The 16641-nt window shown below is 49.9% G+C and overlaps 1 protein-coding gene and 1 long non-coding RNA gene across 26 annotated transcripts; one reads left to right on the top strand and one right to left on the bottom strand.

Annotated features, from left to right (window-relative positions):
- Positions 1-4640: 4640 nt before the first annotated feature.
- Positions 4641-7848, bottom strand: TEX51 (testis expressed 51). 25 transcript variants are annotated; one of them, XM_011512272.2, is made up of 8 exons: positions 7621-7848; positions 7447-7521; positions 7126-7215; positions 6885-6902; positions 6719-6802; positions 5456-5528; positions 5334-5373; positions 4641-4869 (listed from the first exon to the last, which is right to left on the bottom strand). In XM_011512272.2, the coding sequence occupies exons 1-8, from the start codon at positions 7817-7819 to the stop codon at positions 4834-4836; spliced, it is 615 nt and encodes a 204-aa protein (XP_011510574.1). In that variant the 5' UTR covers positions 7820-7848; the 3' UTR covers positions 4641-4833. The 25 variants fall into 25 exon arrangements, 23 of the variants coding, with proteins under 23 accessions (XP_011510574.1, XP_016858637.1, NP_001403011.1 ...); XM_017003148.2 differs by having other exon boundaries at positions 4641-4866; NM_001416082.1 differs by having other exon boundaries at positions 5460-5528.
- A 1067-nt stretch (positions 7849-8915) lies between these two features.
- LOC105373603 (uncharacterized) lies at positions 8916-13642 on the top strand. Its single transcript, XR_001739213.1, has 3 exons — positions 8916-8945; positions 12727-12821; positions 12924-13642. It is a non-coding gene; the product is annotated as an uncharacterized LOC105373603 (long non-coding RNA).
- Positions 13643-16641: the final 2999 nt, after the last annotated feature.

The following is a 16641-nucleotide window of genomic DNA, read 5'->3' as shown; positions in this document are numbered from 1 at the left end:
TCATCAAGGGGATGGGAGCCTAGTCAGTTTTTACCAGTTAACACCATAGCATGGGAACAGCCTTTCTTCTGGCAGGATAAGCCTTATGTCTTCATTTCTCATTAACTTGTCTCATTTCTGCTAAGATTCTATTCCTGAGAATTGCCTCTGTTTCTCTCACCTCCCTTCATGCAGCAGTTTCAGCAGGAAGTCAGGGTACAAGGAGGAAAGCTTGGTGCAAAGTCTTTGGACCTTTGCCTAATCTCTCTAGGTTTTGGTTTGAGATGCAGCATCTATGAAGCTGTGCACTCTGGATGTGTTCAGGTAAGCACACCTTACCCGCACACACCCACACTTTACAGTGGGCCAGCTGGTGGGGGCACGCTGTGTTCTGACATGTGTCCCAGGGGAAGAGAACCTTCATGGGGGGTTATGCTGAGACTGGGGATGGTCTCTATAATGCACCTGTCACACAGCCTGGCAATTGAAGGTGCTCGACAAATGAGTGACTAAAAAGGAGAAATAGAAAAACTGATTTCAAAGAGCAATGCCCACACTCAAGTGGAATTTTCCATTGCAGTCTAGGCAGCAGCCTAGGGGCGTAATGGCATAGGGCCAGCTAGCACCCCTTCAGTTGATAAAAGCGGGCACCCACAGAGGAAATGAACTGTAGCTACTGGGGTAGGGGAGAGGGATGACTTCATCTTAGTTCCCAGGTTCCAGATGCCATGGAAAAGTCTAGAACGCTCTTTGGAAAAAAGAAGTGGCCGACTAAGCAACGTTCTCCCTAGCCCCCAATTTCTTCCTCTGCAAAAAGAGGATTGTAAAGTATGCTCCGGGTTGGTATAGTTAAATGAGATAAAGTGACAAGTAGCTGAGGAACTAGAAAGCATCTAGGAAGATGCCTCCCTCTTGCCCAGAAGAGTCTCTGGCTGTATGTGGTGGAGCCAATACATGCATGAGGAGAGTTTTTTGAGGAAGAAGTTTAGTGTGACCACTGATAGAAGGGAGGGGCCATAAGGCATGTGTGGAGAACAAAGCCTGGGAGATTCAGCCAAGGCTGGAGAGGGCGGAGAGGAAGGGGAGGGTGGAGTGGGGCAGGGATCTGGAAGGCAGCCCTGCTAGGAGGCTGGGAACCCTTGTTTGGGCTGCTCCAGACTGGTCAGGCTCGGGGGTACATGAGACACTTCCAGAGTCCTGATAAATGATCATTTACTAACAAACTCTCCTGCTTGTCAGCAGGAATGTTGGTGGCCTCTGCTCATTGGCCAAGAGGAGGGCCACTCTGGAATGCTGTCAATGAATCTCTTAGAAGTGCATGCACACGTGCATACACACACACACAGATATACATAAAGCAGCTGCACCCTATGCCATTGTGGCTTTAATTTGCATTTTCTAAATGGCTAATGATGTTGAACATCTTTCCACGTGCTTATTTGCCACTTGTACATCCTCTTGTGTAAAATGTATCTTCCTATTTTCTATCCATTTTCTAATTAGATATTTTCAACTTTGGCGTTGCATTTTGAGAGTTCTTTTTTTTTTTTTTTTTTTTTTTTTTTGAGACAGAGTCTCACCCTGTCACCCAGGCTGGAGTGCAGTGGCATGATCTCAGCTCACTGCAGGCTCCGCCTCCTGGGCTCACGCCATTCTCCTGCCTCAGCTTCCCCAGCAGCTGGGACTACAGGCACCTGCCACCACGCCCGGCTAATGTTTTGTATTTTTAGTAGAGACGGGGTTTCACCGTGTTAGCCAGGATGGTCTCGATCTCCTGACCTTGTGATCTGCCCGCCTCTGCCTCCCAAAGTGCTGGGATTACAGGCGTGAGCCTCTGTGCCTGGCCAAAGAGAGTTCTTTTTATAGTTTAGATATTAGTCTTTTGTCAGAGATGTGCTCTGCACATATTTTCTCCCAGTCTAGAGCTTATCTTTTCATCGTCTTAACCGGACCTTTCTCAGGGCGGAAGTTTTCAGTTTTCATGAAGTCCAATTTATCAGTTTTTCCTTTTGTGAATTATGCTTTTGGTATCACATGTAAGAGCTCCTTTCCTAATCCTAGATTCTGAAGATTTTTTTCTAAAAGTTTTCTAGTTTTATTTTAAATTTAAGTCCATTATCCATTTTGAGTTAATTTATGGTGTGTGAAACTTACATTGAGGCTTGCATTTGCTATAGGTGTCCAACTGCTCCAGTCCCATTTGTTAAACAGGAATCTTAAACATTTTTGAAAGCACTAATCAGTCATTTTAATATTAATATCTGATAACTCACTTGTGGTCACTTATAGGTTTGTTTCTTTTGTCTGTTTTTTCTCTTGATCCTGTTTTTTTTGGGGTATACCTGTTAATATGTGTTTGGATACTGGACATTATAAATCAAACATCATAGGGGCTATAGATGATATTTTCCTTCATAAAGTGTTTACCCTATCCTCCATCAGTCAATGTAGAATAATAGACCTCTTTATTTTTGTCAGGGGCTGAATGCCTTGAAACTTCATGTCATGCTTTGTAGGGATTGGTTTGCCTCTTGTGCACATGCCCACTTTCAGAGTATAGCCTTCCCAATCAATATCCTGCAGTATTTACCAAGGATCATCTTCCTATGTGGGTCAAAACCTCCAATTTTTATTTCCCCAGCATCCAGATCTCTAATCAATTGCATTTCAGATACTTTCTGCTTGGGTTCTTTGCCTTTAGCCCTGTACTGCATGAAGGTACTTTGGAGGGTGGGAAAGAAATAGATGCAGTATGTTTGTTTGACTTTTCTGCACCTCCCTGCTTTCAGGTCTCTGAATCCTTCATGTTCCGTTTTGGCATATCTCAGACTCCAACTATTGTCTCCTCTGTCCCGTGATGTTGCAGAAAGCTCTCCCAAACTTTGAGGTCATCCTCAGTCAAGCCCCTGCAGTCTCCCTGAGTCTCCCTGCTGCTGCTGTAGCTCACCCATGCAGAGGGGCACCTGCAGCAGGACACAGGGCTCATCCAGGGCACCCCTTCTCTCCAGGACCTGAATGCTTAGGGCCTGCCTCTTCTTATGCCTTAAAACAGTATTTTTGTTTTGTTTTGTCCTTTGATGTAAGTTATTTCTAGTTGCCCTTGCCTGGAGTGTTAGTCTGCTATAAGTTGCTCTGTCATAGTTGAAAGAATTCCTCCAGACCCTATGTTTTGACCAAGGTTTGCCTGACTCTAAATTCCTTGACCTTTGTACTCTAGCTAAACTCAATATACAGTTTTCATGAAAATAAGAAAACTCTTTGACAAAAGATTCATACACAAAGACAAACACACCAATTCATGCTTCACATACATCACACCCAGAGTTTTCTATTTTTTACTGCACTCATCAGAAAACACCCACTCTGGATACTTTTGAGGTAATGGTCTAGGTCCTAATTTAAATACAAAAAGGAAAACACCATCGCTGCCTGGAGGGCCTGGCATCTCCTGTGTCCTGGATGGCACCAGCTCCCCAGGCATGTGGAAAAAACCACAGCCCCCCAGAGCTATGCCACCTGCCTGGGGGCTCTAACCCATTCCTGCAGAATGGCTGCACCTCCACCCTTGCTATATGGCAATGTCCTTGGAGTGCTATACATCTTCCAAAGCCACCTTACATCTGTGGACTCCCCAGTCTAGTAAAGCAAGAAGGGTGGAAGGGGAGCCTCAGCGGAACCGTGTCTATTCACACCCACCCACCCACTTGGCATCTCTTTCTCGGCCACAGGACTCCCAGCGTTCCACGCCTTCCTGCTGCCCCGGGAGCCTCTGTGGGTTCTTCTGTCTCCTCACTTAGCATCTTACCTCTCACCACATGCTTGCTTGTGTCACCCACTCCAGCCAGACCACAATCCCTGGAGATTCCTGAAACTCTCAAGGTCTCTCAGACCTCTGCTCCTCGGCAATGCCAATCAAAACACCCCTCTCTTCCTTCCTGCCCTTCTCTGGGCTGTCACATGGGTGTAAGACACCACCTCAGGGAAGCCTTCCTGGATCCCCCAGCTGGGTGAGAGGGAGGTGCCTGTGACTGGAGACCCACCGCTGCCCTCGGCCATGGCACTCTCTGCCCTGCTGCCATTTATGCTCTGTTTATGTCTAGGCCTCCTGCAGTCCTTGGCTGTCTTCCAAGAAGCAGCCCTTACCATGGGTTGGTGGTGTTAAGTCAGCCTGAGTCCAAGCCTTCCAGGCTGAGCTGCCAGCTCCGAGGAGCAAGTACAAACAGGGCCTAAGGAGACAGGTGTTCTCCTTTTAGGAGCTGGGCTGAGGACCCTGGCAGGACTTCGGTGGACTGAAGGAGAAAAGGGGAGTGAGGGCTTTGGATCTGCACCCATGGCATGGCCAAATACTGGACAATAAATATGAGGTGGGCAGGTTCCTGGGTCGGAGCACACCAGCCTGGCCAAAGCATCACACCCCCATCTCCTTGTGCTCAGATGGGGAAACTGAGATGCAGAGGGGGGCGCCCAGGCCACCTCTGGCCTCGTCTCAGGTATTGGAATTAGGTGAGGCCTGGATGAGCCCATAAAATCATCATTTTGGGACCAGGACAGGATGATTCTGGAGAGGAGTGGGAGGGTGAGGGGATGGGACATGGCACACAGGGTAACTCGGGAAGAGATGTCATCTCAGCACCCGGCAGGAGACAGATAGCACAGTCAACTAGGCTATGAAGAGGGGTTTTAATGAAGAGACTCTTTACAAAGGTGTAGGAGTAGGCAAACCACGAGACAGCGCAGTCTCCTAGGCCTCAGAGCTTTGGGGCCCCAGGACCCAGGATGGAGGGTATGGGGGGATGGGGTCACCGGGACCCAGAGATGAGTGAACTTTGTGACGGTGGTAGCTGCGGCCTCTGTTCACTTCTGGAAGACATGCGGGCTGCCCTGTTCCTGCTGAGGGAGAAGAAGCTGGGCATTTCTACCCTGACCTCCCACTACTCTGGCCTCCTCCCTGTCTCTCTAACTTCCTCCTGGGAGTCTCCCCTGGCCAAACCCAACCCAGAGCAGAGGGCAAGGCAGCCATGCTAATGGTCCCTGTGGGTCAGGGCAGGGCAGCAGGGGTGAAGGTGGGGTGTGCAGGGGACAGGGACAGCTGGGAGGAAGAGCACTCTGTAGTGAGGATGGGAGGCCTGGAGCTTTGCCATTTCTGTGTCCTGGGCCCCTGGCCCCAATATGTCTGCATATATGGAGGCTGATGAGTGGCACTCCTGAGAGTCCTGGCCCTCGATCCCACTCTGTTCTGCACGCCAGACCCCAGGAGGTCAGCACTGGGGTTCCAGGCCCTGAGACTCCCAGGGCACACCCAGCTTTTCCCTCTGGGAGCCCTAGAATTGGGTCGGGGTCTCCTTTCCCAGTACCTTTACTGCCTCCTTCTTCCTTTGCCAGTAAAAGAAACATCTGGGCCAAGAAACAGGGTGGAGTCAGTCAGGGAATAGGTGTGTCTTCCCTGGGGATGCTGGGGCTTGGAGAGGTCACTCACCCACCTCCAGCTATGGCCAGGAGTAGAGCACTGCTGAGACTCACAGCCCACAGGGAGGTCCGCCGGTTCCTGGCTGGGGTGTGAAAGAGGAAGCCAGGTGTTTGGAGGCCAGGCAGGGCTACCTCAACTCAGAGAGAAGGCCACCATCCTCTCATTCTTTGATTCGTTCACTCATGATGTGTTTGCAAACACTTACTGAGCACGCTGTGCGCCCAGCACATATCTAGACAAGCAAACAATCATGGTGTGGGGTTCAAGGGAAATAGGACAGGACATGGGAGGGGAAGTGACAGTGAGGATGGCTGACAAGCCTCTGGGGTGGGAGCTGATCAGGGAAAGCTTCTTAGAAAACAGGAGTCTGAGCTGGACTTGGAAACACAAATAAGGGATCAGTTCAAGGGCAAGGCTGTGTCCCCGGCACAGGACACGCTCAAGGATAGAGGTATGGAGCTGCCTGTATGCACTTAGTGTGCCTGGGGAGTAGGGGGCTCCCGAGGAGGGTGGGCTTTCTCTAGGGGCATTTGGGAACCACTGCTGGTTATAAGCAGGGAGTGTCATGGGTAGACTTGCTCGTTGAGAAGAAGTTCAGAGTGTGATGTGGCCTGGAGGGACAGGGAGGCTAATGGGAAATGTTGCTGTAAGTTAGATGAGAGATGAGGAGGCCTGAGAGTGGAGGTTAGAATGAAACTATGGGAACACATAGAAGACTTATTTAGCAAGACATGGTGATTCTCCGTGCTAAGTGGAGGGAGATTCCTGGTTTAGGAGACTGAGGGCTTGAGTGGGGCCATTTGTTGAGAACGGCCCTGGAGGAAGAACAGGTTTGGGGGTTTGATGGGATTGGGCATTTTTCTTTTTCTTTTCTTTTTTCTTTCTTTTTTTTTTTTTTGAAACAGAGTCTTGCTCTGTTGCCCAGCCTGGAGTGCAGTGGCATGATCTCGGCTCACTGCAACCTCCACCTCCCGGGTCCAAGCGACTCTCCTGCCTCAGCCTCCTGAGTAAGGATTGGTCATGTTTCTAGGCATGGCATCTCTGAGAACCAAGAGGCCTCCATGAGTGATGTCCTACAGGCAGATGCCTCCAAGGGGCTCTGGAGCTTGACATGAGGACATCAAGAAATCCCAGAAGGTGCTGCCTTCACCCAGGGTGAGGATAAAGAACAAGAAAAGCTTGAGTTGGGCAAAAGAGAATGACAGAGACAGCAATGGCTCCAGAAATGCAGGGCAGGGAGGGGAGAGGCTGGACAGGGTGGTGGCCACTGACCTGGGCAGAAAGTGGGGTCATTGCAGGAGAGGAAGTGAGTCCTGCAGTCAGCACAGCTGGTGACCTTCAGTGTGGACTGTATGTCTATGGGAGGGGAGGGACAGGGGCTAGGGGGTGCCAGGTGCCTTTCATCCCTCCCCCAGGCCCAGTCCCCATGCATACTCACCACAGGACTCATTGCAGGCTGCCAGGGAGGGTGAGAAGGTAGAGAAACTGAGGTGCTGGGGAGGCAGACAGAGCCAAGGGGTTCTGGGGTGCAAGTAGGAGATGGAGCCGGGAAGGCATTCATGGAGAGGGGTGGGGCTCCTGGGGATGATCGAGGGGGCTGCAGAGTGAAATCTGCATGCCTTGGGTCTTGGCAGGTGTGGAGGGCTGGGCCGTGTGCAGGGATCGTCCCCACCCCTTACCCTTCTCCTTCAGCCCATCAGATATCTTATTCAGCCTCTCAGTAAAGAGATTCTTGTGCGTGTAGATCTCTTCCAGAAGTACTGTTTTATCTGGGTAGAGCAGGAGGGAAGGGGTGTTCAGGGTTACAACTTGCTCAAGGTTGGGTTTTCAGACCCTTGTTTCTACATGGAAGTTCCAAAGAGCACACGGAGACAGACTGCATTCATCTCCCACCTTCACAAGACCTCCCACCCATGGCCACATGGGCCTCTGAGAATGCCTTGGAGGGTGGGCCTTTGTCAACCCAAGCCCCAAGGCCCTGGGGCTCTTGGCTTCCTCACCATCTCGTAACGTTTTAATGGCTTGGTGTACTTGAGTGAAGAATTTGGCTGTTTCTTCTTCCAAATGGTCACGATCTGAGGATGAGATACAGGTCAAAGGGAAGTCAAGGGAGTAAGATCCCAGGTCAGGTAAAGAGGCCACATCCAATCCCTGATCTCCTGGCTGTGCCTCACCAAGGTACCAGGGTTTGAGAAAATTATTATCCTCTAGGAACAAGGAGTGAATACTTTGAGAAAGTTCTGTGGGTGGCCCTGGGGTCACCCAGAGGATCTGCAGGTCATAGTCTATCAAGGCAGACAGTTCTGGCCAGCAGCGGAGGCAGTTCTTCCCTTCAATGGCAGGCAGGAGACAGATGATCAGGAGAGGCAGCATCTTCTGGGTTCCTCCTACTGTGCCCCAGTGCCCTGCCTGGAAGTTCCACGTGGAACACTGGTGTTCTGTCCCCTTGGCAACCACATTCTCTTGGCAGGACAAAGTGCATTCTGTAGGGCAAGGCAAGGCTCAGCTGTGGTGTCATGATATGAACCCAAGCGTTGGGATCGGACCCAAGTGGGAGCCTCGGTACATAGTTCTTCCTCTGAACTTGGAGTCACATGCTCAGCAGGGAAGGTCCTTGTGAGGATCAGAAGGATGGCTGCACTGCCTGGTGGTGGATGCTCAGCTATCCTGACTGTGTTCATCTGGTGTGGAAGAGTTTAACAGAGCTGAAATTTGAGAGGCAGAAAAGAGCAGCACAGTGAGAGGGTTAGCTGAGTGAAGAGAATCAGAATCTCTTTACACTTTTCCACAAAGAAGTGGTCAACCAAGGAGAAGTTAATGGAAGAAACATGTTTTCATGGCATATATAAACAGGCAGCTGTCTCATGTTTGGTCAAGCCAGAGGGTCTTAGCTCTTAACACCACAGTGCAGGCAGAGTATAGACAATTCTACTCAGCATTGCATGGAAGTGCAGAGAGAGAAGTCACGTTCAGAGCAGTGGTTCTTTTGTGCAATGCACCCTGAAAAAAGGCAAAACTCCCTACTCTTTTGTAATAAAGAAAGCCAGTGGGATCCTTGTCACTCCTCAGGGGGCAGGCTTTGCCCTTCTATGCCATGCTTCTGAGTGCCTTAGGCTGGATCAGGGGCAGCTAAGACCACTAGGCATTTAAGGAATGCCTCTAATATGACCAAGAGACAAAAACCATAGCAAGAATTCAAAACAAAGGCAAACAAAAACTGCAGGAAATAGGAAGAGTACAGAGTTATGACAAGAAGCAGAATAAAACTTAGAACCTTGCTGGGCATGGTGGATCACACCTGTAATCCCAGCACTTTGGGAGGCTGAGGCGGGTGGATCACCTGAGGTCGGGAGTTCGAGACCAGCCTGACCAACATGGAGAAACCCCATCTCTACTACAAATACAAAATTAGCCGGGTGTGGTGGTACATGCCTGGAATCCCAGCTACTCGGAAGGCTGAGGCAGGAGAATCCCTTGAACCTGGGAGGCGGAGAATATGGTGAGCCTGAGCCTAGATCATGCCACTGCAACTCCAGTCTGGGCAACAAGAGTGAAACGCCAGTAAAAAAAAAAAAACAAAGAACAAAACAAAACAAAAAGCCTTATAACCCAATTACCATTAAATTGACAAAATATTGTTTTTCCCAGACAAGAAGAAGTTGCTATGTAAAAGAAAAAGTTATTGGGGACTAAAAATATGATAGCGTAAATTTAAAAATTCCATAGAAGTGTTGGGAGATCATTTCAGAAATGTTCCAGACAGAACTACAAAAAGACAGAGATGGGAAATAGGAAATAAAAGACAATAAAATTAGATAATTAATCCATGAGGTCCAACATCCAGCTAATACAAGTTCCAGAAAGAAAATGAAGAGGTGAAAATTATTTATAATAGAAGTTGTGTTGGAAGTATATACAGAAAGAGATTCTATTGTGTAGGGGGAGGGATGTGGCATTGAGGTTTACTAGAAGAAATAGTTGAGGCTGGGTGCGGTGGCTCATGCCTGTAATCCCAGTACTTTGGGAGGCAAAGGGAGGTGGATCACTTGAGGTTAGGAGTTCAAGACCAGCCTGGCCAACATGGTGAAACCCTGTCTCTACTAAAAATACAAAAAATTAGCCGGGTGTGGTGGCGCGTGCCTGTAATCCCAGCTACTCAGGAAACTGAGGCAGGAGAATCGCTTGAACCTAGAGGGCGGAGGTTGCAGTGAGCTGGCATTGCACCACTGCACTCCAGCCTGGGCAATAAAGTAAGACTCTGTCTCAAAAAAAAGAAAAAAAAAAGAAGAAATAGTTGAATTAATAAACTCAGGTTGTGCTAGTCAGGTGGGCTCTGTGATGGGAGGGAGATTCCGAGTACTGCAGAGATGTTGCTCTATCCCTGGCTTTGTATGGAATCAAGGATGAGGAATAAGCCTGTTTTTTTCTACTCAGTCAATACCTCTGGAAAGGCAAGGCCTGGAAGGGTCCCAAAACAAAACTTCCATGTCCTCAGGATGCATCACCCTCTAGGCACATTGGTGTTTGTCACACCAGAAAGTTCACGCAAGACATGGTGTTCAGAATTTTTACTGGAGTTTCATTATGTAGGTGTGATTGACTGAATCATTGGCCATGTGATTGAACTCGATCTCCAGGCCCTGTCCCTCCCTGGAGGTTGTGCTGATATTCCCTGGCTCAAAGCCCCAGCCCTCTAATCACATGGTTAGTCTTTCTCTTGTGGTCAGCTCCTATCCTGAGTCATTTCGTTAACATAAAAGGGTATGGTTAGGTAGGGTCTCATAAGCCCACCATGAATAATAGACCGTCCTATCACTCAGGAAATTTCTGAGGATAAAGAGATTGTCTCCCAGGTACCAGGGACAAAGGATAGCCAGATTCTTTGCATACAACAATAGCACATAAAGTTCTGATTACCCGTTAACATTTGGGCATGAATTCATTCAGATCGAGGCTTTGTAATGCTTCTGTGGTCTCCTGGAATCTTCTGGGAGGATCTCAAGTCCCAGGTACAAGCTTTTGCTTTGCCCATGCTGAGTTGTGGAGATATTAGAGTAGAGGCAATTACAAATCCAGGGACAAGTGGAACATGACAAGGGCTTCTATCTTAGCAAATTAACTCACTTGGTTGGTAAAATCATCTTAGAGGTCATTGACCTGCAAATCCTTTCCAGTTGTTATAGGAACCTTGTCTGAAAGGACAACATTTGATATACTCAAGAGACTGGCATCTGGTTGGTCAATGCCTTTATAAAGGGTTGGATTTAGTTGTTTGATTTTTTAATGGAAAAATTACAAAAAGTTCATCATCAGATAACCTATCATAAATGAAATATTCATTTCATTTTCTTTCCGGTTAAAACTTGTGTCTTGAAATGCTTTGTTGTATCTACTTAGAATGATCAATGGGGATGCCTGGGGGGAATCTCTCTTGCAGAATTTGTTGGTAGAGAACATTAAAATTGCATGAAGCCAGTCATGTAATTTTGATAACCATCAAAAGGATTTTGACTAGAATTGGGGGGAATTTAAAGTGAGATGATGCTTCTGGGAAAGGTGAAACCTTGGGTGTTCAAGGAGGCAAGTTTCTCAATCTGTAGGGCACTCCCTCGTCTACCCCTGCTGCTGGGCAGAGACATTCTCTCCCTAGTTAGTGGCTGTGGCCAGAGGATCTGCAAAACAAAGAGTGCCTGGCTACCTCCCTCTGGTCCTAGAGAGTCATGCAGGGCTAGGGCTGGCCGTCGCCTTGCCCAGGACTCAGTGTAGCCCATCCACTGCTCCAGGGAGAAGTGGCTGAGGCCCTGAGGGGAACAGATGAGGGTTCAGATTCATGCTTTGTGCCCTCAAGACAAGTGCCTGCCACCCCATTCCTATTCCTTCTTTCTCTTGAGTTCTTTCCATTTTCCTGCTATCGAGCTCAGCTCTGCATCTGTGAAGCCTGCTCAGGTCTCTCCACCCACAGAGATTTCCACGTCCTCTCATTTTTGTCAGGGCCCATGTTTGTTCTTTCATTAGGCAATTAGCGGCATGCGGACTTGTGACAGGCTTTCTGTTGATTCAAAATGTCATTAAAATCTGCTGTAACCTATGCTTTCTCAGGTCTTACCAGCCTGCTTCTAAAAACAGGGTTACAGTCACAACAGCACATCCTTGGGCCATCTCCTTTTGGCAAGGTCTGCTCTCCTGGCTCCCCTGGCTGTCAGAGTCTGGGTGGCCCTCAGGGGCTGTCCCACTGATGCCATGATGCAGCTCATGTGGCTGGCCTGGGACGTCTGCTCCTCTCTCTGTGGCGCTGGACTCACCTGCCACTCCCCACACACCACCATGTTCCCAGCTTCTCCCCTGTTTCAGTGAAAGGGGTTCTCGCTCCTTGAAGGATCCCAGGGCTCTCTTGATAGCCTTCACGAGGCCCTGGACCCTGACCATGGCCCTGGAGAAATGGAAAAATGGCTCCTCTCATTTAGCCACAGGCCCACTGCAGAATGTCTGTTTCCCAAGCTCTGAGTGGACCCGAGGCCGCTGCCTGTCTTCTCATGGAGGTGAGCGGCAGTCCGGGGAGCGTGCCTGCTCATCACCCTCTTGGCTCCTAACCATAGCTTCTTTCTCACAAAGTTCCTTTTCCAAAAGGATGAGCCTCCCCAAGAGTCTTGCAGACAGGCCTAAACTCTAAGGTAACTGAGACAGTGGGGACAAGGACTGCATTTATGCTGGTCAAAGCTGATTTTGATGGGACAAGTCTCTGGTTCCCAAACGGGGTATTTGTTTTCTCTGGAGAAGTAGGAGCAGAGATAGAGGCCCCCCGCCCAGGCATAGGATGTCTTTACCCTACCTCCTTGGGCTTTGGTGTTTTGTTTGGGACCATGGATACAGCTGAGGATGAGAGCACGGTATCTCCTCTCTGAAGAGGTGGCCATCAAAGCTCTCATGATAAACACCTGAGGTCAGGAGCACATGGCCAATGCCAGGAAGGTTGAACATCTTTGAAGGACAAAAGGGCTTCCTGCCCAGCCCTGCTGACATCCTTCTCTACAGCAATGTGTTCTCCTTATCTGGGCAGAATGAGCCTCTGTTCTTCCCACACACATCTCTCAGGGGTGGTGGCACTGCAGAGGGTCTAGAGACCCCTGCTCCAGTTGGGTGACTGCCCCTCTGTCAAGGCAGGCAGGGTGCTGTGTAGTGCTCCCTGGGTGGGGAAGAATACTGCAGACATTAGGAACATTGTCGTAGGAATGGAAGGGTTCTGTCCCTGAAACTTACTGATTATATCTGTTTCCTTGCAGGTTGTGGCAGATGGTATGTTTCCAAAGAAGATGGAGCCTCATGTCCCACCCACAGACTCTTCTGCAGTGGAAACTGGCCACTCCCCCAACAAGAGGTGGAGTCCAGTTCTCCTCTCTTTGGTTTGGGCTGACCTTATGGACTTGTTTGTAATTAGTAGGATGCAGTAGAACTGACTCCTTGTGACTTCCAAGTCTAGGTGAGAATGGCCCTGCAGCCTCCACTGGTCCTGCTGGGAAGCTCATTCTCTGGATGCTCACTCCTGGGACACTCCTTCTTGGGACCCAGCCACCATGCTGGGAGAAGCCTTAGACATATGAAAAGGCCACATATGGATGCTCTGGGTGACAGTGGTCCCAGTCCAGATACCAACATGTAAGTGAACAAGCCTCCATATGACTCCAGCCCCTAAGCCTTTCGAGTGTTCCCAGTTAAGGCTCCAGATATTGTAGAGCAGAGCAAAGCCATGTCCAGGCCTGTGTCCTTTTGTGCAGCAAGAGATTCTGGGAACACAGGGCTCTGCAAAGTGCACAACACAAAGACTTGTTCATTCAACAGGGGAAGGACTCGGCCTTATTAGTGGTATCCCAAGCCCAGTGGGGCCCCTAGCTGAGGGGGCGCTGCAAAGTGGGATCGAAGGGCTCAGTCAGGGCAGGAAATCAAAGTGGTGGTGGTCTGTTGCTGCCTGTGTGGCCCCAGTCCTGGGGACTTGTGCATGGAGAAGTTTGGGATCTCCAAGTGTACTTTGACTACAGAACCCCCGACAGCCACACAGAAGCCTACAGGCCTAGGCCCCAAGTGAATGAACACTGTGGCCACTCCCACCCCACCCCCATCCTCCAAGAAGAAAAAGAGAAGGAGCGAAAAAGGCAGAGAGGGTACACTCTGACACTCCCTGCTGGAGAGTAGGATGGTGGAAATGGGGAATAAAGGTTCATGCCATCTTTACTCAGATGGATTTATTTCAAACCTTATTGACATTTCTTTTCTTTTCTTTCTTTTTTTTTGAGGCAGAGTCTAGCTCTGTTGCCCAGGCTCTAGTGCGTGGCGTGATCTCTGCTCACTGCAACCTCAGCCTTCTAGGTTCAAGCGATTCTCCTGCTTCAGCCTCCCGAGTAGCTGGGACTACAGGTGCACGCCACCTCACCTGGCTAATTTTTGTATTGTGTTTTAGTAGAGATGGGGTTTCATCATGTTGGCCAGATGGGTCTCGAACTCCTGACCACAAATGATCCACCTGCCTCAGCCCCCCAAAGTGCTGGGATTACAGGCATGAACCACCATGCCTGGCAGACATTTCCTTTCTGTATGATCCTGGGCTCGATTCTTCATGTCTTGAGCTCAGTTTCTTCATCTTTAAAATGGAGCTAATTAGAGTGCCATCTCTGGAGAGTTTTGAGATCTCTGTCAGGCGCTTAGCATAATGTAGGCCCTCAACTCCTCTAAATCCTTTCTCTTCTCTTTGGAAGGACCTTTAGGCAGCTGGACCCAGTCGCCAATAATAACAGCAATAAATTATGAAGGGCATGCTGTGTGCCAGGCACAGGGCTTAAGGCACAGACCCCTTTGACACCACCATCACTGGGAAGCTGCCTGCTAGTAGGCCAGTGTGCTGGGGCAGGGGAGTGGATCAGCTGTAAGGGAAGGCCTGCAGTGTCACTGACTAAGCTTCAAAGGAGTCTCTTGGCATCAGTAGAAAATATGAGGTCCCAGGCGGCAGTGCTTGGGCTTCCTCCTTTTGGTCCCCCAGCCATGGGACTGGGACCTTGAGCACACATCTGTGCCATAAACTCATGGGTGAATATGCCCATACCTAAGGGTGAGCCAGCACGGATCACAAGAACTGACTGCTATTGGCATTTGTGTCCGGGAAACAGTGGATCTCTCTGGGGCCAGAGCATATGGCAAGGTATTTAGCTTTGAAGGCTGTGACAGGTGGGGCTGCTGTGGGCCAGGCCCTCATGGAGACTCCACTGGTGCCCAAGGAGAGGCCTCATGACAGAAGAGAATCCCACACTCACGGCTGCTGGGCGAGTTTCCCAGCCTCCCCAGGTGTCCCACCTGGCATGTGGTCTTTCCCACATGGCTGTGAAATGCCATTTATTGTGTGCCTGCTGCCTGCCAAGGGCCGTGCCAAGAGCTTTGCAGAGACGATGGAATGTAGAGCCTCCTGCCCCCCCTGGGAGCTGATGCTGGCTCTCGCAGGACCTGCTAGGAAGATCAAAAGTGGAGAGTAATGAATGGGGCACACACAGCCACGGTCTAGCCACGAGCAGGTGCTCAGCAAGGGTCAGTTGCTGTTGTTAGGTTTGGATTGTTGGCTCTGCAACCACTCAGGGGAGGGTACGCTAGGGTCCTGCCCTCCCTTCCTGGTCAGGGGCTGTGCTATAGGATGCTGCTGCCTGCCAGGTCCCACTCCTTGCCTTCCTGATCAGTTCCCTCCTCCCTGCTCTTTATCCTCCCTACCCTCGACTGTATTCCGGGATTCAGCAGAGCTGTGGGATGCATTTTCTGATGGAAGTTTCCCTGCAAAGTGGTGAGGAAGGTGGTCGGTCTGGTCTTGGGCATCTGCTTTCAGCTCCACGGGTCTCCATGCCTCCTCCCACTCCTTCCCAGACTCTGCTCCTGGAACCTTCTCACCACCGTCTGAGCCACAGTTGCTTTTTGGAAAAAAAAAAATCTGCCCTCCATCACTTACATGTCAGTATGAACAAGCATGTGTGCTTTCTGCTGGGGGTGTTTGACTTCTTTGCTGTGGCCCGGCCTTGCCCTTTGGAGTTTATGCAACAAGGGGACACAGTCATCATTTCAGAGCCTGCTGTGTGCCAGGTGCTCTATCCACTGAGTCACGTTTAGTCTTTACAGTAAGTGTATCAGTCAGGGTAGGCAAGGTCAGGCCCTGGTAACAAACACCTGCAAATCTCAGTGGTCTAAAACAACAAAGACTTCTTTGTCTTTTATGTTACTTAGCCATATGGGTTGGCAGAGGTCTCTGGTCATCAAAGCCGCTCAAAGGCCTGGCAGATGGCACAGTTCCTCCCTTGAGTGTTAGGGGCCACCCTGCTAGGGGAGAAGTGAGTGTAGGAGGTCCTTAAAAGCTCCGGCTGGGAAGTGGAAGATGTCACCTCCTTACACAGGTCATGCACAGATCTAATTGTACAGCCTCTCCCAGCCTCAAAGATGGTACCTTATGATGTGGCCTGGTGGGGGGCTCCTGCTGAGGACCTGCCCTGAGGAGAAGTGGCAATGTCTGGTGACCAATGTGGAGGACTCCCAGCCCAACCTGTGAGAAAAGTCTGCATTCCCATGTGACCCACTGGGACAGGAGTCGCTCCTGCAGGCAAACAAGGATGCAACCGCAGACGGAACCCAGATCCCGGACCCGAAGATCCGTGCTCTGGGTGAAGAGTTTCAACTTCCCAGCTCATTAATCTTTATTGGAAAAGTCATTTGGAGGATTCAAAAAGGGTATTGAACCCACACAAAGCTCCAGCCTAGAAAATTGTCATGTCCTCAGGAAACCCAAAGAAGAAACATTTGGGAGCAGTTGATGACGTGAGTCTCTGCCCTCTCCTCTGCTGTTCCTCCCAGAGAACTCTGCGGCTCAGGAAGGGGCAGCAGAGACAGAAACAGCAGGGGGCCTGGGGTCTCCATGTGGAGGCCCATTGCATGCTGAGCTCATGCCAGCGCGGGGTGCTATCCTCACTTTACATGTGCTGGAAGCAGGCCTCAGGTTAAGGGAACTGCCAGGGCCACACAGCTAGGAACCTCAAGGTGAGGTGATCAGAACCCCATCCTGGCCCTACTCCCTGCATTCCCCACTAAAGCCTTGTAAGATAACCCCCCTCATCCCCAATGCCCCTGGCCCAGGAGCGCTTGCCTAAGCAGGTGACTCTGGATAGGAAGATCTGGGGGTA

The sequence above is a fragment of the Homo sapiens genome, chromosome 2 (genome assembly GCF_000001405.40).
Source record: "Homo sapiens chromosome 2, GRCh38.p14 Primary Assembly".
Taxonomy (NCBI): Eukaryota; Metazoa; Chordata; class Mammalia; order Primates; family Hominidae; genus Homo; species Homo sapiens.
This window is presented reverse-complemented; position numbering and strand designations above follow the sequence as displayed.